This window comes from Homo sapiens, chromosome 2 (genome assembly GCF_000001405.40).
Source record: "Homo sapiens chromosome 2, GRCh38.p14 Primary Assembly".
NCBI classification, from domain to species: domain Eukaryota; kingdom Metazoa; phylum Chordata; class Mammalia; order Primates; family Hominidae; genus Homo; species Homo sapiens.
Window position 1 is genome coordinate 119,808,701 of NC_000002.12, and position 23,145 is coordinate 119,831,845.

The following is a 23,145-nucleotide window of genomic DNA, read 5'->3' on the forward strand; positions in this document are numbered from 1 at the left end:
AGCCACTTCACCCAGCCCAATCACTGTCTTTTAATTGTGGAATTTTACTTGGCAAGCGTCTCCTTGTCAACATAGTAAGACTTTTTTCCCCTACATTATTTTTATATTTATATAACAATGACTTTTACTTTGAGCTTTAATCTTTTGAAATGAATAATCTGTGAGAGATCAGCTCCAGGTATTATCACTGATTTGAAATACTATTTTCATTATATTTTGCTTACTCATTGTTCATACTGCTTACTACTTATTGCTTACTCATTCAAACATCCCAAATACTAGTCTTTCTTCTAGTTTAGTGTGTTTCCTTTACCTAATTGTCTTTAAGACAGAAGTGTTAGGTGTTTTAAAGTTTGAATCCTTAAATGCCTGAGTGTTTTAAGAGTTTTTTTTTCTCCTCCATGAATGTTAATTTTCTAGGTATATAAGTCAGTGTTTCAAAGAATTTTCTTTCACAACTTTGAAGCTACAGCTTCATTGTCTTTAAACATCTAGTATCGCTGATATCACTGTGATTTCTGTTGTTTTATAGGCCATCTAGTTTTTATCTCTTAGGTTAAAAATTCAGAAGCAAAGATTGGTCACCATTTCTATTTTGTTTTCTTAGGAATAATAACAATAATACTATTAGGTTGAATTTTGAGGATGGTTAAAATGAAGGGTTGTTTTTTTTTTTAAACTTCTTGGTTTCCCCAACACCTTAAGTTTTTTAAAAAAGGGAAGGGCCTGCCAAAATTAAATAATTTTTCCTCCTGTTGTCATTCTACAGTGCTTTAAAATACTTGCATCAATGAGTAATATCCAACTTCCTGAGGCAGCATAATCTTCCCGCCCCTTTTGGCTACTCCAAAGTTTACATATTTTGAATTGGAATATGACTTCCTTAAAAATTTATGTATTAAATCTTCTGGATGGAGCAGTTAAAAAAAAAACCTCTTTTTCAAAGCAGTGGTAACTTTAGTTTGATGATGAACTATATATAACTTATACCTACAATTCTTATTCTGGTGTTTCAAAATTTATAACTGTTTTCCACCTAAGTTTTAATTGAGAAATATATAATAACTTTGCCTTTTAAACTACAGCTTATATTTTACGAACCTTTTATTTAGTGAATTTTTTTTTTTTTAACTTAGACTTTGTGTGGACAGTAATGACCTCACGTTTCCGATTGCCTGCTGGCAGAACCTACAATGTACGAGCATCAGAGTTGGCCCGAGACAGACAGCATACTGAAGTGGTTTGCAACATCCTTCTTCTGGATAACACTGTACAAGCTTTCAAAGTCAATGTAAGTATTTTGTGTCTTTTAAAAAATAATCTCTGGCTATAAGTCTGAATTTAGACATATATGTAAACTAGGATTATTAAATTATAGTACAGTTTGAAAAGTCTTATTCAAGTAAAAAAGTCTTTTTGGTGCAGGATTGTATTAGATGCATGCTCTCATTCAAACTGGGTCTTTTTAAAAAGTGTTGCTCACTGGATGTTGTTGAGAAACCAACAGTGTGCATTTTGATTAGTAGAGCAGATCCATAGTATGTGTGTGGTTTTCATAAATGTGCTTGAGGGTGCCTGAAAAGAATTTGTTCTTCTAAATAATTTATACATATTCATGGTAATTTTACTTGTACTGTCTGTGAGTAAAATTTTTGCCAAACAAAAATAAATGACAGCCCTGATCTTATCTATCGTCTGAAATATTTATTTAACAAATATTTGTTCATCCTATTTGTGTCTAGCTTTGTTTGCTCATCGTTATTTGTGAGTTTTACCCATGTGGTGTGTTAACAGTAGTTAGTTCATTGTTACTGCTCTGTAGTACCCTTTTGTATGAATATACTATAGTTTACTTATCCTTTCATTTACCATTTACTTGTCCAGTTTATTGTTGGTATATATTTGGATTTGTTTCCACTTTGGGCTCTTACAAATAATACTGCTGTGAACATTCTTGTACATATCTTGATACATATAAAAGTGTATTCTCCCTTTTTATTTAAAAACTTTTCAACCTATATGGAAAAGGTGAAATAATATTATAATGAATACCCTTATACCCTTTACCTAAATTGACCCAGTGTTAACATTTTGCACATTTACTTTATGTTTCCTTCTCTCTACATGACTTTTTTTTCCTGAACCTTTTGAAAGTAAGTACTTCAGTATTCCGAGAATCTCATAATTACCACATCCCTAAATTTAACTTTATGAAAATAATAATATATGCAGTCTGTATTCAAACTGGAATTCTTATTCTTCAGGATGTTTTGGTATTTCCAAATTTTTCAGGATGTTTTCTGCTGTATTACTTGGGTATTTCCACACTTTGAAATCTTTAAGTAATATAAAATATGAATCTTACACCGGGGCCAGTCGGGGGATTAGGGGCTGGGGGAGGGATAGCATTAGGAGAAATACCCAATGTAAATGATGAGTTGATGGGTGCAGCCAACCAACATGGCACATGTATACCTAGGTATCAAACCTGCATGTTGTGCACATGTACCCTAGAACTTAAAGTATAATAATACAAAAAATGAATCTTTCTTATTTACCAGTTTAAGCTTAAAATTTTCTGTGTATTACTATATAGCAGGATTATGAATTTATCTCAAATTCCAAGCTATTTCACATTGAAAAAGGGGCTGCAGAGTAGTGAATATTACATCATTATCATTAAAAATACCTTCAACATTATCTAAAATACCCAACAGATTTAGGATTTAGTGTGCTTTTCTAAAAAGCTAAACTTTTGATTTCTTTTGTATTCTATCATCTGTTAATATATAGTTGGAATATAGGTTGCCAAACAGAGATAACATAAAGTGAAGAGAATTCTACTTCGTACAAATTTCTATTTAATAGAAACTCTCATGTATTAGACAGTTGATGTAAGAAAATAAGCCTTTTTTCCTATTATTCACGTGTTAGAATTCTTTTTTGGAAAAGGCATAAATTTAATAACTTTTGTCTTAGCTTAAATTTAGCTACTATTTAGTTTTCATTTTAACTATAGTTTTGAATGTATTTCAAAATATTGTAAAAAGGTTTGGTATGTTTCTCAGCTAGCATAATTTTCTGTTGAGCACTTTAGTTAACAGTAGTATGCTGTATTTTTCAGTGTAGTAATCAATGTGCTGTCTAGTTACTCTTTTAGAAAGACATATATATTAATGTACTTTTATATGTTTATATTTTAAAAATATATATTACATATATTTAGCTGGCAGTTTCAATAGACCTGGATATATTACCTAGAATGGTAAGTAAGCTTACCATTCTGTGGTGCTAGAAACTTTCTCTACCATTATCTCAGGTCATCAAAAAACTTAAGAGGAACAATATTTATGAAAAATTGCTGGTTATGTGGTATATTTATTCCTCTGGGTATTTGAACCCAAGCCATTCAAACCAAAAGAGTTGCTTTGTACTTTTAGGTAGATTATTTATCTTTTAATCCATGTGAATAGATCTCCAGTTATGTACTTTACAACCTGTGGAGTGGTATGTGGCAGCCTGCAAACTAATTGGGGGTTTGAAAGTTTTGGTGTTTGTTTTCTTGTGTCCACTTAGTACCATTAAGTCTCAGAAATCCTTTGTGGGCAGCTGCCAGGTTCACCAGCATTTCTCTGTTCACCAAGAAGGAGAACTACTCAGTTTCCTTTGGAGACTACCAGGCATTGGAGTCATTGCTTTTCATGAAAGATTTTTGCACCACAGGTAAAATATTCATGTTGCCAAAGCCTGCTTTGTTTCATCTGGTAGTTATCTCATCAAAGCCGTTTCTGTATTTTCTGAGGGAAATTTTTGTAATGAAGGAGTTGATGTAACTTCACTAGATCTTGCTTTTTCTCTGCTGTGGACATAGGAATGATAAGCCTGTTATCACTGGGTTTGTGTTGGCTTGTGTTGTTTCAATGTCAAGTCCTATTTTCACTGTGGCTTTGGTATAACCATTTATTTACTGTGGCCAACCTATGGAGTGTATTGTCCCTCTCATGCCGTGAATTCATTGTCACTAAATGAATTCATGATATGAGAATTCATCTCACCAAATATGTTTGCATTAACAACTCACTAAATATGTTTGCATTAAATACTTTAAAATGCATAGTGTCCGTACTACATGGATTGATGTCTTCAATCTATGAGGATTTTTACCCCTAATTTTTGACTTGACTTTTACTTTGGTGCAGCTGATTAACGTTAGCCTGTATGATGAACAAGGAAGGGCTGGGAGGACCAGCCTATTTTAGTTACTGTGACTGCGTAAGAAATTACCCTAAAACTTAGTGGCATAAAATAACCATGTATTGTCCTCAGGGATTCCGTGAGTCAGAGATTCACACACACACACAAAAGGCTTAATTTTGCTCCATTATGTATCAGTCCTCGGCTGGAAGACTCAAAGGCTGGAGGCTAGAATCATTCGAAGGCTTATTCACTCACATGGCTGTTACCTGAAACCTTAGCTGAGGCTGAGGCACCTATATATGACCTCTTGATATCCTGGACTTCTTCATAGCACAGTGGCTGGTTTCTTTCTTTCTTTTTTTTTTTTGAGACGGAGTTTCGCTGTTGTTGCCCAGGCTGGAGTACAATGGCACGATCTCGGCTCACCGCAACCTCCGTCTCCCAGGTTCGAGCGATTCTCCTGCCTCAGCCTCCCTAGTAGCTGGGATTACAGGCATGTGCCACCATGCCTGGTTAATTTTGTGTTTTTAGTAGAGACAGGGTTTCTTCATGTTGGTCAGGCTGGTCTTGAACTCCCGACCTCAGGTGATCCACCTGCCTTGGCCTCCCAAAGTGCTAGGATTACAGGCATGAGCCACTGTGCCCGGTCACAGTGGCTGGTTTCTAAGGGTGAGCATCTTTAGAGAGAGAGCCACACTGTAGCTATATTGCCTTTCCAGTCTGGCCTGGGAAGCCATGTAATGTTACTTTTTCCATGTTCTATTTGTCAAGGTTGTCACAGAGTTAAGTGAAAGGAAATAGACTGCATCTTGATAAAAAGTGGAGGATCATCATGTGGGATCAGAAATGTTGCCGTGGACTTACTGGGAAAATACAGTCTGCCAATATGGCATCCTGTGGAGGTGTCCATTTTGCCTCTTCCTCATCACTTACTGTACCCATCTTCCTACTTTCATAGATACCCAGAAATTTCATCCCAGAACTGTCTCCTTTGCTTCTCAAGGGATAGCTACCATATTTAAGGAGTCAGAGATGATGAAAGACAGGTTTAATTTTTATTATTTGCTCTTTGTGTTTATTATTTAAATTATTTACCCAGGTGTGCCATACTTAAAAAAAAATGTATATGTGTGTGTATGTGTGACACACACACATCTATCTTTTAAATTTGATCTATATGTTTTATTTTATAAGTGTATGTATGTACATGTAATTGGCGTATTCATTTACACAATTTTCAAAACCATATAGTTTTATAGGTCTTGAGTTTGTAGAGCCTCACTGCCAGTCTTCTTAGAGCTGAGTGAGAGGAAGGGATTGGAGAGGACTTACCTATTCACTATGTAGATTTTTTCTTATTATGCAGGCTCTGTCTGTACAATACAGGCAGTATAATCTGCCTGTACAATTAGTACAGTACAAATTAATCAGCTGCACATGATGCTCCTGATTCCAGAGTCCTTCTGGTTCATTTTCTTCAGAGAGTAAATCTCCAGTTCCTATGGTGATTGGCTGTAGGGGAGGGGAAGTGAGAGAAGTCATGTAGGGGCTGTTACTTGTATAGACTCTCAACATTTTTTCAGTCCTGACCCTGCCTTCTCTTTTTGAAAGATAATTTGTACCCCTATTTCTAGAGTTTGTGGGGTAAATGAACTTGCTCCTAGGCCTTTCTCACACTGTTAACTTTTTCTGTCACTTAAGGTGACCACTGAAGTTGCTTTTCATTTTCCAAAATTTTCTTAGGGTAGTCTTTTCTTTCATTACTAACTATACCTACACTGTTATTTTAGTGTGCCTTGAGCAAACATTTATGTTCAGCCTTCCTCATTTTTAACCTTGACATCTCTCAAGTTGATTGTCAACAGTGCCTACCTTGAAGGAGAATTTATTAAATACCAAACTTTAAAAAATAAAATCAGATGTTAAAATGGAATTTATCTTTAGTACAAAAAGACATGATAATTTTGTCAGCTTTTATAGTATATGAAAAGTCCAATATTATAGTGTATGATAGATTTTTAAAGCTTTTATCTATTTTGAAATCCTTTTTTTCTAGGCTATAATCATATTAAACACTAGAAAATTATTTTATCAGTCAAATTTAGAGTTGAGCACAATTAAGGTGACCATATTTCTTGTTTTATTATTTCACCTTGCTGTGGTTTCATCAGGCATATAGTTCTTGGGTCTCATATTATATTTGCCATGCATAAGTCTGTTACTGAAAATGACCTTTACTTCTATTGAAAGATTCTTGGGCAGTTATTCAATGATGATTTTATACATCTTTATTTTGAAGGCTTACTCTGTGACTATACACAAGTTGTTCTTGTCTGTGTTTCATATTCTTTCTTTGTTAAGAGAGAATAATATCTACCTGACATTAGGATGCTTAGCATTAAACAAGAATGTTGGTGAAGTGCCTGTTTATGTATCTGACTAGTATTATGCATTTAGAAAGGTTGACTTTCCTCTCTTGCTTGTAATCCAATTGATCCATTCTCTTGTTCCAGAAATGTTTTCTTGGAAATATGTTATTTTTGAAATTCCACAAAATAGCAATTTACTAATTGTTTGATGTGCATATATAACGTTTTCATCCATGTATTGGTGTACATATACTGCTTGCAAAACCCAATTTGTTTACTGGCAGTATTGATTAAAAATATATATACACAGAAATTTTAAAATGCCAGTTATTTGTAAAAAGTAAAGAGAAAACAATTGTCAAGTGTTACTTTTTTGAGAATTAGGTTTTTTTTATCCCACAGAAAATTGTAGTTATTCATGTACATTATTTAATAATTATTGAATACCTAACATACATTATGGAGTATAATTCAAAAATAGTTGGCAGCCATTAAATTATGAGAGAGATGTTGGATTCTATTTAGAAAGATTTTCAGCTTGGTTTTCCTTCTCTGGAAATTACATGTAGATTTTATTGTTTTTTGTAATATGTATAATGCACAAAACAGTGCAGTACACAGATCTTCATTATATAACTCAATGAATTATTTTATGTATACACCTGTGCAGTACCACCAGATTAAGGCATTGAATATCTCTCTCAATAAAAAGGATTCCCTTGTGCTCCTCTAAGTATAGTCACGCATCACTTAACAACAGGCATACATCCTGAGAAATGTGTCGTTAGGTGATTTCATCATTGTGTTGAGCATCATAGAGTGTACTCACATGTAGATGGTATAACCTATTACACACCTAGGATATATGGTATGGCCTGTTGCTCCTAGGCTACAAACCTGAACAGCGTGTTAGTGAACTGGCTATTATAACATGATGGTATTTGTATATCTAAATGTATCTAAACATAGAAAAGGTATGGTAAAGATACAGTATTAAAATCTTAGTTAGGCACAGCGGTAGGCACTTATAGTCCCAGTTACTTAGGAGGCTGCGGTGGAAGGATTGTTTGAACCCAGGAGTTTGAGTTCAGCCTGGACAGCATAGCAAGACCTTGTCTCTGAAAAATAAATCAAAAATCAAAAATTAAAAATCTATAATCTATGGCAGTGGTCCCCGACCTTTTTGGCACCAGGAACCGGTTTCATGGAAGACAATTTTTCATCGGACTTGGGTGTGGGGCAATGGTTTCAGGGTGATTCAAGCACATTACATTTATTGTGTATTTAATTTCTGTTATTACTGCATTGTAACATATCATGAAATAATTATACAGCTCACCATAATGTAGAGTCAGTGGGAGCCCTGAGCTTGTTTTCCTGCAACTATATGGTCCCATCTGGGGGTGATGGTAGACAGTGACACCCAAAGTGTGTTGCTTATGTCCAGTCTACTCCATAATCTCATTTTGGTTGCTGTCACTTCAGAAAACACTGCTTCATAAAGATAGGATGTTGGAAATGGAAGCAGGCTTTTCAGTGCTGTTGTAGCAATCTCAGGATATTCCACCTTGACTTTAATCTGGAATTTACGGAGATGTGAAGTTGTCTCAAACATACTTTTATAAGGCCACCATCATTTGCAATCTCAAGCAGTTGATTCTCTTCTAGCACGGACAAAGTTGATTCACCTGGTTTATTCACAAATGGGTCACAGATCCATGTAATGCTCGAATTCTTTTGAAAGCTGAGACCTATCTCAGAAGTTGCCATAGAGCTGTGTGAACAGACCTGAGTTAAGGGAATGCATTTGTCAACTTTTGCTTTTGTTGCAATTGCTTTTGTTGTCTTCGTCATGAAATCTTTGCCCATGCCTGTGTCCTGAATGGTATTGCCTAGGTTGTCTTCCAGGGTTTTTATACTTTTGGCTTTTACATTTAAGTCTTTAATTCATCTTGAGTTAATTTTTGTATATGGCTTAAGGAAGGGGTCCAGTTTCAGCCTTATGCATATGGCTAGCCAGTTATGCCAGCACCATTTATTGAATACAGAATCCTTTCCCCATTGCTTTTTTTTTTTTTTAATACTTTAATTTCTGGGATATATGTGCCCAACTTTTCTCTCTGGCTGCCCTTAACATATTTTCCTTCATTTCAGCCTTGGTGAATCTGACCATTATGTGTCTTGGGGTTGCTCTTCTCAACAGTTGTAGGTGTGTAGCATTATTTCTGGGCTTTCTGTTCTGTTCCATTGGTTTATATGTCTGTTTTTGTACTAGTACCGTACTGTTTTTGGTTACTGTAGCCCTGTAGTATAGTTTGAAGTCAGGTAGTGTGATCCCTCCAGATTTGTTCTTTTTGCTTAGGATTGCCTTGGCTATTTGGGCTCTTCTTCGGCTTCATATGAATTTTAAAATAGTTTTCTCTAGTTCTTTGAAGAATGTCAATGGTAGTTTAATAGAGATAGCATTGAATCTATAAATTGCTCTGGGTAGTATGACCATGTTAACGATATTGATTCTTCCTATCCATGAGCATGGAATGTTTTTCCATTTGTTAGTGTCCTCTATGATGTCTTTGAGCCGTCGTTTGTAGTTTTCCTTGCAGAGATCTTTAACTTGCCTAGTTGTGTTCCTAGACATTTTATTCTTTTTGTGGCGGTTGTGAATGGGAGTTCATTCCTGATTTGGCTCTTGGCTTGACTCTTGTTGGTGTATAGGAATGCTTGTGATTTTTGCACGTTGATTTTGTTTCCTGAGACTTTGCTGAAGTTGTTTATCAGCTTAAGAAGCTTGAGGGCTGAGACTATGGGGTTTTCTAGATATAGGATCATGTCAACTGCAAACAGGGTTAGTTTGACTTCCTCTCTTCCTATTTGGATACCATTTTTTTCTTTCCCTTGCCTGATTGCCCTGGTTAGAACTTCCAATACTATGTTGAATAGGAGTGGTAAGCTAGAGCCTCCTTGTCTACACATATATTTACATCACCCCTAAATCTGTTTTTATTGACTGTCTTGTCTCTTGATTGTCAGTCACTTTCCCCTGCTTTACACATCTGCTAATTTGTCGTTGTATATTGAACATAGTGAGTGAAATGTAGAGTAATGGACAACATACTATGGCCATGGGCCAAATCCAGCCTTCTGGCTGTTATTGCATGGCCTATAGCTAAGAATGGTTTTTTACATTTTTAAAGGTTATTGTTTTTGCTATGTTGCCCAGGCTGGTCTTGAACTCCTGGCCTCAAGCAATCCTCCTACCTCAGTCTCCCAGAGCACTGAGATTACAGCTATGAGCCACCATGCCCAGCCTCTGTTTGTTTTTAAAGAGAATGTACAACAGAGACTATGTGTCCTCAAAGCCTAAAAATATTTGCTTTCTGGCCCTTTATAGGAAAGGTTTGGACTCTTATTTGTTGGAGCTCTGGATTATTAAGTCCCTCTAAATAATAGTGAATTATATTATGGCAGGCAGTTAAATAGCCAGCAGATTACTTTGATCTTATGGAGATTAGTTTTAAGCTTTTTAAGATAGGTCTGTTTCACCTTTGTTCTTACTCCTAGGACAGAGTTTGTCTAGGGTCTCAACTAAGTGACTAAGGTGTTCATCAAGATATCTCTCCTCCGAGCCTGGACCACACCTTCTCAGAACTGCACAACCTCTGAAATCTCTGTTTAGTTAACAGCTATTTTCTCCTAGAAATTCTAACCCTGTGTACGCACATCCTATGAAGCAAGTAAGGACCAAAGGGCAATTTCATGTGTATTTTTATAGCTTTTTTCCTTTCACTTTCTCAGTTCTAATAACCTATCCCCAAAACCCTGGCACCATAGCAACCCCAAACATTAATTTTAGTTTTCTTATCCTAGCAGGACTACCACTGTCTGCTTGGGCTTTGTTTCTCCACAGTATGGTTTGGCAGGTGCCCCCAAGGAGAAAGCCAGCGTGAGACTTGATTCATCTGCCCTTTTCTCCCAAAGATCATAGCCCTGTGTTGGTTGGTATCTGTTGCTTGTAAATGTTACATACATGTTTTATTTGGTCTATATTTGGTCCGGTTTTTATAGATGCTTGTAACAGGAGAATATTGCAATACCAGCTACTCTATATGATCAGAACCCCAAATCCTCATTATTTTAAAATATGAAAACGTATCTCATTATATAATCAGTGAATTTTGATTTGAAACATTTAACATGTTACTTGCTGTATTTTCTGATTCATTGTTTACTTGACCCAGATAGTTGAGCCAAATAGGACTTAGATCTCAGTTAATAATAGTAAATATATTCATCTTATAAAATCGAAATGGCCCTTGCTTTCCAAAGATGGAACCCTAAACAGCTGGGCTAATGGATTTGATATTTTAGAAGATTTCATCTGCAACATTTGAGATGCACCTTCACACAAGTTGATCTGGGCATAGCCGTTGTCAGAGAAGCTTCTGTCCTTGGCTGATAAATTATTAATGCTTAATTATTTAACTTTTTTGTTTGTTTACATATCTAGCATCTTAAAAATATTTCATAAATATTTTAGCCTATGCCCTTTTTTTCTCTACTGTATTCACAGTGTGTAAGGAATACTTGGCTGTTGTTTTTTTTGTTTTGTTTAGAGACAGTGTCTTGCTCTATCTTCCAGGATGGAATGTGGTAGTACCACCATAGTTTAGTGCAGGCTTGAACTCCTGGGCTCAAGGGAATCCTCCCACCTCAACTTCCCAAGTAGCTGAGACTACGGGCATGCGCCACCATGACCACCTAATTTAAAAAATTCTTTAGAGACGAAGTCTCACTATGTTGTTCAGGCTGGTCTCTAACTCCTGGTCTCAAGTGATCCTCCCACCTCGACCTCCCACACTGCTGGAATTATAGGCATGAGCCGCGGTGCCTGGCCTATTTGGCTCTTAAATGTGCTGCCTTTTGACTTATTTCATATTCTTGAAGGGAATAATCATTTAAATATTTTTGCCATCATAGTGCTTTGTATGTCTCTCCTGAAGCTCATTTAATAGCATGTCCATCTGTGATAGATGTGATCTGTTCTTTGGGAAAGGATGTATGACATAGCTCTGTTTTCTTCCTAGTACTTGCATAAAGAAACTTTCAGTATTCATTGGAATGGAGTTGGTGAGCATAGAAAGAGTTATAGTTATCACATAAGGAAGCTACATGACTCACTCTCTGCTGCCTCACTGCTTCCCCTGGGTAATTGTCTGTCCTGATTCCCATGTGGATTCAAGAATCCCCCAAGGAAGCCCTGGTGGGAAGACCTGGAAGGTCTGGCTCTTTGCCCAGATGCTGGTGTTGGTGTTGATGTTGATGGATGTGCTCTGCTGATCATAATACTCTAGAGAAGAAATTGCATCTTATCTTTGAACCCACCATTCATAATGTTTATTCCTAACTCAAATTGGATAGTTCAGTATCTGTATATCAGGAATTTGGTTTCATATTAAAGGTAATATCCATTTATTTGAGTCTTTGCCCTTATTATTTAACATTCTTTTCAATAATTAGACTTAATAATTATGCTTCCAAATGTTTAAAATAAAGCTGGACTTGCACATATATATATGTATACTTTACATATATATATACACAGCTTTACATACACACATGTGTGTGTATGTAAAGCTGGACTTGCATGTGTATATGTATACACGTATACATGTATGCACACATAGCAAGATTTACTTTTGAAAATATTTATCCTGAAACTCCTTTATCCTCTTGGTAATTCAGTATAGTAGCTCTTCCTCTTAAATATTATTCCTAGTGACATTTTATGACTCTGTTTTTCCATTTACCTTTTGAATTCTATCCATAATTTTTTTTTTTTTTTTTTTTGAGACAAAGTATCACTCTGTCACCAGGCTGGAGCAGTGGCGTGATCTCGGTTCACTGCAACCTCCGCCTCCCAGGTTCAAGTGATTCTTCTGCCTCAGCCTCCCAAGTAGCTGGGACTACAGGCGCCTGCCACCATGCCCAGCTAATTTTTATATTTTTAGTAGAGATGAGGTTTCACCATGTTGGCCAGGATGGTTTCAATCTCTTGACCTCGTGATCTGCCCAGCTGGGCCTCCCAGAGTGCTGAGATTACAGGTGTGAGCCACCGCCTCTGGCCTCTATAATTTTTAGTGTATCAGTTTGGTTTCCACCAAGAAAAGTGACAGCTGTACTATGTGAGGAATTAGTAATAGTATTATGACACTTTTTTTTTTGAATGTGCAGACATTTCCTTTTGATGATTCATTTGATTTGTTTATGATAAACTTCAGAGCATGTAGTTTTGGCTTTCTTTTGCAATTATTTAATTTTTTCATGTAAAATCTGGATGTTGATAGGCACTTGATACATTAAATAGGTACTTAATTTTAGCACTAGGTTAATTTACAACTTTGGATTCACTGTATTTTTTGACATCACTTACTTTGAATCACTGTGAGATGACTTTCATTTTTCTTCATCAAGAATATCTTGTGTGGGATGTGTGCTAGTTCTTTATATCCTTCGTTTTTGAAAATGTCTTAAGTTTTACCCTAGACTTAATTGATAGTTTGGGTAGAGAATTTTAGATTGGAAATAATTTCTCAGAGTTTTGAAAATATTGCCTTCTATTAATATTGCTGATGAGGAGTCTGATACTATTTCAATTCCTGATTGTTTATGTATGACGTATTGTTTGTAGACATTTAAAACGTGTTTTCCTTTTCACTTTTTTTTTTGCTTAAATTTCATGTAGATTGTGCATGAAATCCACCAGCTTGCAATATGACACTCTTTTGCTTTCCACTATGCTTGATGTCCCTAGATTTGAAGCCACTTCAGTTTATCTTAGAATAATTCAGGGGAGGTATGGGATTGAGAACTGAGGGACACAACTGTTCCCTACATGGATCTTCAACCTTCCTTTCCCATTTTTAGCCTCATGCCTTATCTTGCTGTTTCTCACACTTATCCTCCAATGTTTGAGCCTTTCTGTATATTTGATTTGCTTCCTGTTGATATCTTTCTCTGCAGGTATTTGGTGTTTAGCTCTGCTGTCTCTTCCACATGCTTTCTATCTTCCAAAGTGTATTAGTATCCCCTCCCCCCCCCTTTTTTTTTTTTGAGATGGATTCTCATTCTGTTGCCCAGGCTGGAGTGCAGTGGCGTGATCTCAGCTCACTGCAACCTCCACCTTGCGGGTTCAAGTGATTCTCCTGCCTCAGCCTCCCAAGTAGCTGGGACTACAGGCATGTGCCACCATGCCCAGCTGATTTTTATATTTTTAGTAGAGACGGGGTTTCACTATGTTGGTCAGGTTGGTCTCGATCTCCTCACCTCGTGATCCACCTGCCTCGGCCTCCCAAAGTGCTGGGATTTCAGGCGTGAGCCACCGCACCCGGCCTGTGTGTTAGTATCTCTTTAGCCGATATCTTCTCTCCTTTTGTTGTTCTTGTGGTTTTTATGTTTTTAGTACATTCCTTCTTTTTTTTTCCCCCTCAAATTAGTGGGCTTTCAGGAATGAGTAAAGGTAAACACATTTTCAGTCCATCACATTTAACTGTAGGTTTAAGCATTTTTGAACAGTAAGTTATTAATTCTTTTTCCTTTAGAAGACTAACAACAGTGGATGGTGGTTTGCCATGACATTTGAAGTCACATTCTTGTATTTTAATTAAAATCAAGTTTTTATTTTTGAAGTTTGCCTCTCCCCCCATTTCTATTTTACATGTGTTTTGGGGACTATAACAAGAGTCACCTTAACCAGTTTGTAATCAAGCACCTAAATATTGCAATCTTATCTCAACCTTTATTCTTTTACTGTAACTGCTTCCTCAGTGATTATTATCTAGTTAAGAAATTCATCAGTTTATCAAGGCTCATTTTGTTTGACCTCTAGGAGCTTTAAAAACTGGTACTGCTCCTTATTTCAAGGAAAGCTCTCTTCTCTGTGATCACATTCTGGATATACTTCATCTGTTTCTTTTTTTTTTTTTTTTGGAGACGCAGTCTCGCTCTGTCGCCCAGGCTAGAGTGCAGTGGCTCGATCTCCGCTCACTGCAAGCTCCGCCTCCCGGATTCACGCCATTCTCCTGTCTCAGCCTCCCGAGTAGCTGGGACTCCAGGTGCCCGCCACCACGCCCGGCTAATTTTTGTATTTTTAGCAGAGATGGGGTTTCACCATATTAGCCAGGATGGTCTCCATCTCCTGACCTCGTGATCCACCCGCCTCGGCCTCCTAAAGTGCTGGGATTACAGGCGTGAGCCACCGTGCCCAGCCCATCTGTTTCTTACATATCAGTATTCCTTGAGGATTTACTATTGTCTTTTGTATCTTTTCACTTTCAATTATTTCGTGGTTGCTGAAGATTGTGGTATCTGTTATCTCTAGTTTGGATATCTTTCCACAACTCAAATTCTGTGTTTGCTGAAGATTTCAGTGGTGGTTTTAAAATCTTCGAAATATTTCTTACTGAGAGAGAGAGGCTGTATTCCCTTTACTTGAACCTTGGTGAGCCTTTATGAGTGCCGTTTTCTTCCAATAGAATCTGTTGAAAGAGATGTTGCATGACTTCCCTCGCTAGCTTAGAAAAGACCCTTCAGCTTCTGCTATTGTTTTATGGTAAACTCACTCTCGAAGAACTTTTAGCTGCTCTGTAAGAAGTCTGGCTCCCCTGAGGCCACCATGTGGAGACTCTGTGGAAAGACAACATGCTATAACTATATCTTTTTGATATGTTGTCTTTTCATATTCATTTAGTTCAGAATATTTTCCAAATTCCCGCTAGACTTCCTGTTTCCCCCAGGCATTATTTATATGTATGTCGTTTAGTTTTCAAATAGTTGAGGATTTTCCATATATCTTTCGCTTAATGATTTCTATTTCAATTCTGTTATGGCTAGAGAACATACTTTGTATGATTTCAGTTCTTTTAAATTTGATAAGGTTTGTTTTAAGGGCCAGAATATGACATATCTTGGTGAATAATCCATGTGCACTTAAAAAGGATGTCTGTTCTACTCTTTTTGGGGGGGAGGCAGGGCGGTGGAAAGGGCTAGAAATATCAGTTAGGTTAAGTTGGTTAGTAGTATTTTTGTTTTTATATTTTAAAAAAATTGAGACATTCTGTGTTGCTCAGGTTGGTCTCCAACTCCTGGGCTTAAACAGCCCTCCCACCTCAGGCTCCCAGGTAGCAGGGATTACAGGCACACGGTAGTGTTTTTATATCTTTGCTGCTTTTCTTTTAACTTTGTTCTATCAATTATCGAGAGAGTAGCATTGAAGTCTTCAAGTATAATTGTGCATTTATCTATTTCTTTCAGTTATATAATTTTTATCTTTTGTATTTTGGAGCCCTGTTGTTAGATACCCATTTGGGACTGTGATTTTCTTTTTGGTGACATGACTCCTTTATTATTATGTAAGGAGTTGAATATAAACATTTTTTTCTTTGAGATAGAGTCTCGCTATGTCTGCCAGGCTGGAGTGCAGTGGTGTGATCTCGGCTCACTGCAGCCTCTGCCTCCCAGGTTCAAGCACTTCTCCTGCCTCAGCCTCCTGAGTAGCTGGGATTACAGGCACGTGCCACCACGCCCAGCTAATTTTTGCATTTTTAGTAGAGACAGGGTTTCACCATGTTGGCCAGGCTGGTCTCAATTTCCTGACCTCAAGTGGTCCGCCTGCCTTGGCCTCCCAAAGTGCTGGGATTACAGGTATGAGCTACTGTGCCTGGCCAAATATAAACATTTTTAAGCCATATTAAAAGAAAGCAAGTTTTTATTTGGTAGTTGTATAGGGTCTTTCCTACGTATATACTTATTTCTATAAACTGAATAACTTCTCCCAGCTTTTCAACTTGTGGAAATTATCTTGTTTTTCAATGTGTTGTCCATCTATCAACTTGCTTAACTGAGATATGCTTTAGTTTTAATAGTTTTGAATAATATTTAGAGTATGTTTCTGTAGAAACAGCTTTTTTTTATATATCCAGATTAATATTACCGTAATTTTACTGGGATATGGCCTTCCGTTTAGTCATAGGTATTAATATCTATGAAGTAATAGTAATGTGTGTTTATTATGTCCACAGAGTTTTCACTTTTCACACTTGTTTCATTCTTGTCAGTAACAATGTGGTGGGGCAGTTACCTCTTTTTTACAGATAGAGGAATCAAATCCAGGGATTTTGCGGCTTGCCCACAGCCACGTGCTAAGCAGTAGAGCCCAGGCTAGAACCCAAGCCTTTTTTTTTTTTTTTTTTGAGAGGGAGTCTTGCTCTGTAGCCCAGGCTGGAGTGCACTGGTGTGATCTCTGCTCACTACAACCTTCACCTCCCAGGTTCAGGCAATTCTCCTGCCTCAGCCTCCCGAGTAGCTAGGATTACAGATGCCTGCCACCACGCCTGGCTAATTTTTGTATTTTTAGTAGAGACAGGGTTTCACCATGTTGGGCAGGTTGGTCTCGAACTCCTGACCTCAAGAGATCCACCCACCTTGGCCTCCCAGAGTGCTAGGATTACAGGTGTGAGCCACCACGCTCTGCCAATCCAAGCCCTTTGACCCTTCAAACTGGTGTTTTTATTTCCCACAACATCTGCTATCAATTGGATGGTCTTCTGTTTCATCTCTATATGTCATTGTGAAAAGTGACACAAATTTAAAAATTAAAAGTTATGGCCATGAAAGACTAAATAGTCTGTGATGCTGTTTTTCTTATCTTTTGTTGAACATAAGAATATAATAGTAAGTTACTAAGGAAGGTTTATTAGAAGTTCAGATTGGTGCTTTTCCACCTCAATTTTATAGGTCTGTGTTGGGACCCAGGTGTGTATATATTAAATGAGTACACAAGATAGTTCTGATGCACATATTCTCTGGCCTTACAGAGAAACACAGTTGGGAGAGATGGAGACTGCCTTGGCCTCATTAACATTCTATAATTAGCCATATATTTATAGAACACATTTTCCTATTTGTTCATTGCATATACCAAGTGAGACAGAATCAAAATCCATGTTAAAACCTAGCTGCACTATACTTATTTTTCTCCTCACTCATGGAGTAGGATTTTCTGTTTAGTGTTTTTCTAAAGCTGAATGAGAAAATAATCTGTACAAGGATAGTGTTTAGCAAGAGCTTTTGAGCCCTTACCGGAAACTATAAACTCTAAAGGAACTGTAAACTCTAAAGCAATGATTCCTAAATGGGGCAGACTTTGCATCTCCCCAACCCAATCTCCAAGGGACATTTGGCAACGTCTGTAGACATTTTTTGTTGTCACAGTTGGATGGTGGGTGCTACTGGCCTCTAGTGGCTAGAAGCCAAGGATGCTGCTAAACTTCCTTACAATACACAGTACAATCCCTCCCCTATCCCCCACAATAGAGAATGATCCTAATACAAAATATTGACAGTGTCAAAGTTGGAAAACTGTGCTCTAAGGTTAATATTCAATAACATATTTTTGATGAGTAAATTTTTAAAATAATCTTAGGTGAGTGTGGTTGCTCACGCTTGTAATCCCAGTGCTTTGGGAGGCCGAGACAGAAGGATTGCTTGAGGCTAGGAGTTCAAGACTAGTTAGGGCAACATAGCAAGACCCCTTCTCTACAAAAATAAAAAATAAAATTAGTCAGGCATGGTGGCATGCACCTGTAGTCCTAACTGCTTGGGAGGCTGAAGCAGAAGGATTGCTTGGGCCAGGAGTTCGAGGTTACAGTGAACTGTGATTGTGTCCCTGTACTCCAACCTGGACAACAGAGTGAGACCCTATCTCTAAAAATAAAATAGTTTTTTAGCTGCAGTTTTGATCTAACTAGGCGTTTCTTCTTCAGAAAGTTGAGTCAAGTGATTTTGTTTTGTCTGTAGCCGTACCCCTATACATACACATTTGCTTCCTAAGTTGATAGTGTGCGTTGTGAGAATACTTGAAGGTTGCTTGAAGATACTAATCACACAATGGATAAATAGGTATAACTGCATCAACAAACCGATTCACAAATCTTTTATCACCCTGTTGGGGGGAAATCTATTTGAGTTTAACCTTTAAAGGAAGGCAAAGAGGGAAAGTAGAATGTTTCAAAGTACTAACTTTGAAGTAGGGAGCATTTAAAATATAAAGTAAAATTTGCAAGTTTTGTGTGCATCAGCATTACATGAGAGTCTCCACTGAGCTGTTTGTTTACTTGCTAATTTTCCTTGGTCAAACAAAAACTTCTTCCCATTCTGAATGAATGTGAACTAGTATTTTATTGAGGATTTTGGCAGTGCAAGTGGGCCAGAAATAACTTTTTATTACAAGTATAGCATATATACAATAAAGAACAAATCTTAAATGTAAGACAAGAATTTATAAGGTGAAATCTCCTGTGAAACTATCACTGGATCGAGATAATAGAATATTACCAGTACTTCAGATGCGTCCGTTGTGCTTCCTTACTGTTACTATTTGTCTCTTGCCTAAAGTAGTCACCATTCTGAGGTCTGTCATTATAGTCTAGTTTTGTTTTTGTTTTTGAATGTTATTGAGTTAAACTATATGAGATTGTGTTTTTATAGGTTGTAATTATAAGCAATTTCATATATGTAGTTCAATCTAAGTATTTTTTCCCCATTGCTGTATAATACTTCATTTATGGTAGCTAGTGTCAATAGATGGCCCCCTACACGTACACTTGATACTCACACCGTTGTAAAGTCCCTCACCCCTTGAATCTTGGCTGGCTTCTAAGTGACTCACTTTTAACCCTGACAGTAAAGTTACCCTTTGTGGCTCCCAGTCATAAGAAGCCTTGCAGCTTCCAATTGGGTCTCCTTAGAACACACACTCTTGGGGACAGTCCATTTTAGACTTCAGCTGTCATGCTGTGAGATGTTCTCACCATATGGAGAAGCCATATGTCAGTGCTCTGGTCATTAGCTCCAGCTGACCTCCCAGCCAACAGTCAGCATCAGTTGCCAGCCATATGAGCAAGGCATCTTGTACGTCAGATTCAATCAAACTTCTGATGACTTTACTATCTGCTGTCTAACTGTAGCCACAAGTGAGAACCGCCATGTGGGCCCAGTCAACCCACAGAACCATGAGTAATACTAATATTTGTTTGGTTTATGTTTGTGTATTTGTCTTAGCATTGTGGTGTATTTGCTGCATAGCAACGTAAAATGCATCATTGCATGAATATACCAAAATTTATTCAGTTTACTGTTGGTGGACCCTTGATTTGTACACTTTGGGGCTACTATGAATACTGTAGCTCTAAACAGTCTTACAATACATATATTGGTGAATATATTCATATACTTCTGTTGGGCAATTATCTAAGAGTGGAAATGCTGGGTCAGCTTCAGGAGACACTGTGAAACAGTTTTCCAAAGTGGCTATAAGTATGTATGCTCCAGCAGTTTATGAGACTGCATTTGTCCCACATCTTCAAAAATACCTTATATTTTAAAATTTTAGCCATTCTGTTGCTTATGTTGTAGAATTTCATTGTGGTTTTACCTTCTGTTAGTGAATTTTCCCAACATCTTTTCACTTGCTTTTCCCAACATCTTTTCACTTTCTTTTTTACATAAGTAGAAGGCTCTACAATAAAAAGTATAGGATAGTAAATGCTAGGTGATAGGAATTTTTTATCTCCATTATAATCTTTTGGGACCACCATAGTATATGCAGTTTATCATTGACTGAAAAGCAGTTAATGAGGCACATGACTGTACTGAAAGCTTTCCCCTGAAACTGGAAACAAGGTAAGAATGTCCACTATCCACCACCCTTTATTCATTGTGTTTTTTGGGTTTTTCTTCCCATATATTTGTTGACCATTTAGGTTTCCAATTCTTATCTCACTCTTTCTGTGGTTTGTCAGTGATTTTTGTTTCTCATGCTGAAATCTCCTACTATGAGGGATTTGTCCATTTCTTCTTTTAGGACTGTCAGCTTTTTACTTTGTGTGTTTTTTTTGAACGGTTTAATTGAGATGTGATTCACATTAAAGTGGATGATTCACCTTTTAAAAGTGTATGGTTCAATGTTTTTATGTATCACAGAATTAATTTTTAAAAATTGTTGTAAAATACATATAACGAAATTTACCACTTTAGCCATTTTTATATATACAATTCAGTGGTATCAATTAAGTTCACAATGTTGTATAACCTTTCATGTCTACTTCCAACTTTTTATTTTGCCAAACAGAAACTCTAGCCATGTGGCAGTTGTTCCCATGATTCTCTCCCCTCAGCTCCTGTTAACCTCGAATCTTTGTTTCTCTATGAATTTACCTAGTCTAGATATTGGTTATAAGTAGAATCATACAATATATGTCTTATTGTGTTTGGCTTATTTCACTTAGCTTAATGTTTTCAAGGAAGCATGTAGCATGTATCAGAACTTTCACTTTTTTTTCATTCCAGAATAATGTTTTATTGTATGGGTATACCACATTTTGTTTACTCATTCATCTGCTGACAGGCACTTGGGTTGTTTCTACCTTTTACTTATGTGATTAATGTTGCAAACATTGGCATACAAGTATCTGTTCAAGTCTTTGTTTTCAATTCTTTGGAGTCTATACCTAGGAGGAGCATTTCTGGATCACGTGATAATTCAGTGTTTAACCTTTAAGAAACTGCCAAGCTGTTTTACATGGTGTCTGCACCATTTTAAATTCCCACCAGCAATGTACCAGGGTGCCTATTTATACATATCATTACCAACACTGTTATTTTCCAGGTTTTTTTTTTAATAGCTATCTTAGTAGGTGTCAAGTGGTTACATTGTAACCATTGTAGGTTACACTATTTTTGAGACTGCAGTCATTTACTGCATAATAATGTTTCATGGGCCATAGTCACAAAGGTGTGTATTCCTATATTTTCCTCCAAGACTTTTGTAGTTCTAGCTATTAATTTTAGGTCCAAACTTCATTTGGAGTTAATTTTCTATATGGTATGAGGTAGGGGTCCAATTTATTCTTTTGTATGTGGATATCTTTTTGTCTCAGCACCATTTGTTGAAATGATAATTGATATGGTTTGAATCTGTGTACCCACCCAAATCTCATGTCAGATTGTAATCCCCAGTGTTGGAGGTGGGGCCTGGTGGGAGGTGATTGGATCATAAGGGTGGTTTCTCATGAATGGCTTAGCACCATTTCTCTTGGTATTGTCCTCGCAATAGTGAGTTCTCATGATACCTGGTGTAACACCTCTGCCCTCTCTCTCTCTCTATTTTTTGAGACGAGTCTCTGTCACCCAGGCTGGAGTGCAGTGGCGCGGTCTTGGCTCAGTGCAGCCTCAGCCTTCCAGGTTCAAGCAGTTCTCCTGCCTCAGCCTCCAGAGTAGCTGAGATTATAGGCGCCCGTCACCACGCCCCGCTAATTTTTTATTTTTAGTAGAGACGGGGTTTCACCATGTTGGCCAAGCTGGTCTCGAGCTCCTGACCTCAAGTGAGCCACCTGCGTTGGCCTCCCAAAGTGCTACAGGCATGAGCCACCGTGCCTGGCTCACCCTCTCTCTCCTGCACCTGCTTCTGCCACATGAGACACCTTGCTCTCTCTTTGCCTTCCACTATGATTGTAAGTTTCCTGAGGCCTCCCCAGAAGCCAAGCAGATGCCAGCATCATGCTTCCTGTACAGCCTGTGGAACTGTGAGCCAATTAAACTTCTTTTCTTTATAGATTACCCAGTCTTGGGTATTTCTTTGTAGCAATATGAGAACAGACTAATACAATAATTCAGCAGTACCCAAACTTTTTGGCACCAGGGACTGGTTTCAAGGAAGACAATTTTTCCATGGATGGGGGGTGGCAGTAGGGCGTGGTTTGGGGATGAAACAGTTCTACCTGAGATCTGGCATTAGATTCTAATAAGGAGTTTGCAACCTAGATCCCTTTCATGCACAGTTCACAATAGGGTTCATGTTCCTATGAGAATCTAATGCTATCACTGATTTGAGGAGGTGCAGCTTAGACAGTAATGCTTGCTAGCTCAATACTCTCCCGCCCATCGCTCACCTCCTGCTTTGTGGCCTGGTTCCTAGCAGGCCATGGACTGATACTGGTTATGGCTTAGGGGTTGGGGACACCTACAATAATTCATTTTCACTTGAGTGGTCTTGGTATTCTTGTTACAAATCAACAATAAATGGAATAGTTTATTTTTGGACTCTCTATTATTTTTTGTTCCAATGTCTACCCTTATAGAAGCACCACGTTGTCTTATAGGTTCGTAGAAACTTTTGAAATCAGGAAGTGTGAGTTCTCCAACATTCTTTTTAAATATTATTTTGGTGCATACACATTTAGGATTGCTATGTCTTATTGGTGGATTGGCCCTTTGGTCATTGTATAATAATTCTTTGTCCCTGTTAAACTCTTTAGCTCTGAAATCTATTTTATTTGATATTATAGGCACATCTTTCTTTTGATTAATGTTTGCATGGTGAATCATTTTCATCATTTACCTTCAATCTACCTATATCATTATATTTTGAGTTTCTTTGAGACAACATATATCTGGGTCATGTTTTTTATATATACTCTGCCAATATTTGAGTCCTGGTTGAAATTTGAATTCCTACAGAGAGGAC

General features: G+C 37.3%; 1 protein-coding gene across 1 annotated transcript in view; it reads left to right on the forward strand.

The window, feature by feature from the left end:
* PTPN4 (protein tyrosine phosphatase non-receptor type 4) overlaps positions 1-23,145 on the forward strand; it is a 224,978-nt gene that overhangs the window by 48,779 nt on the left and 153,054 nt on the right. Inside the window, exon 2 of the mRNA NM_002830.4 lies at positions 1,137-1,291. Within this exon, the coding sequence (NP_002821.1) occupies positions 1,154-1,291 (138 nt within the window). The 5' untranslated portion in view covers positions 1,137-1,153. The remainder of the gene's footprint in view (positions 1-1,136; positions 1,292-23,145) is intronic.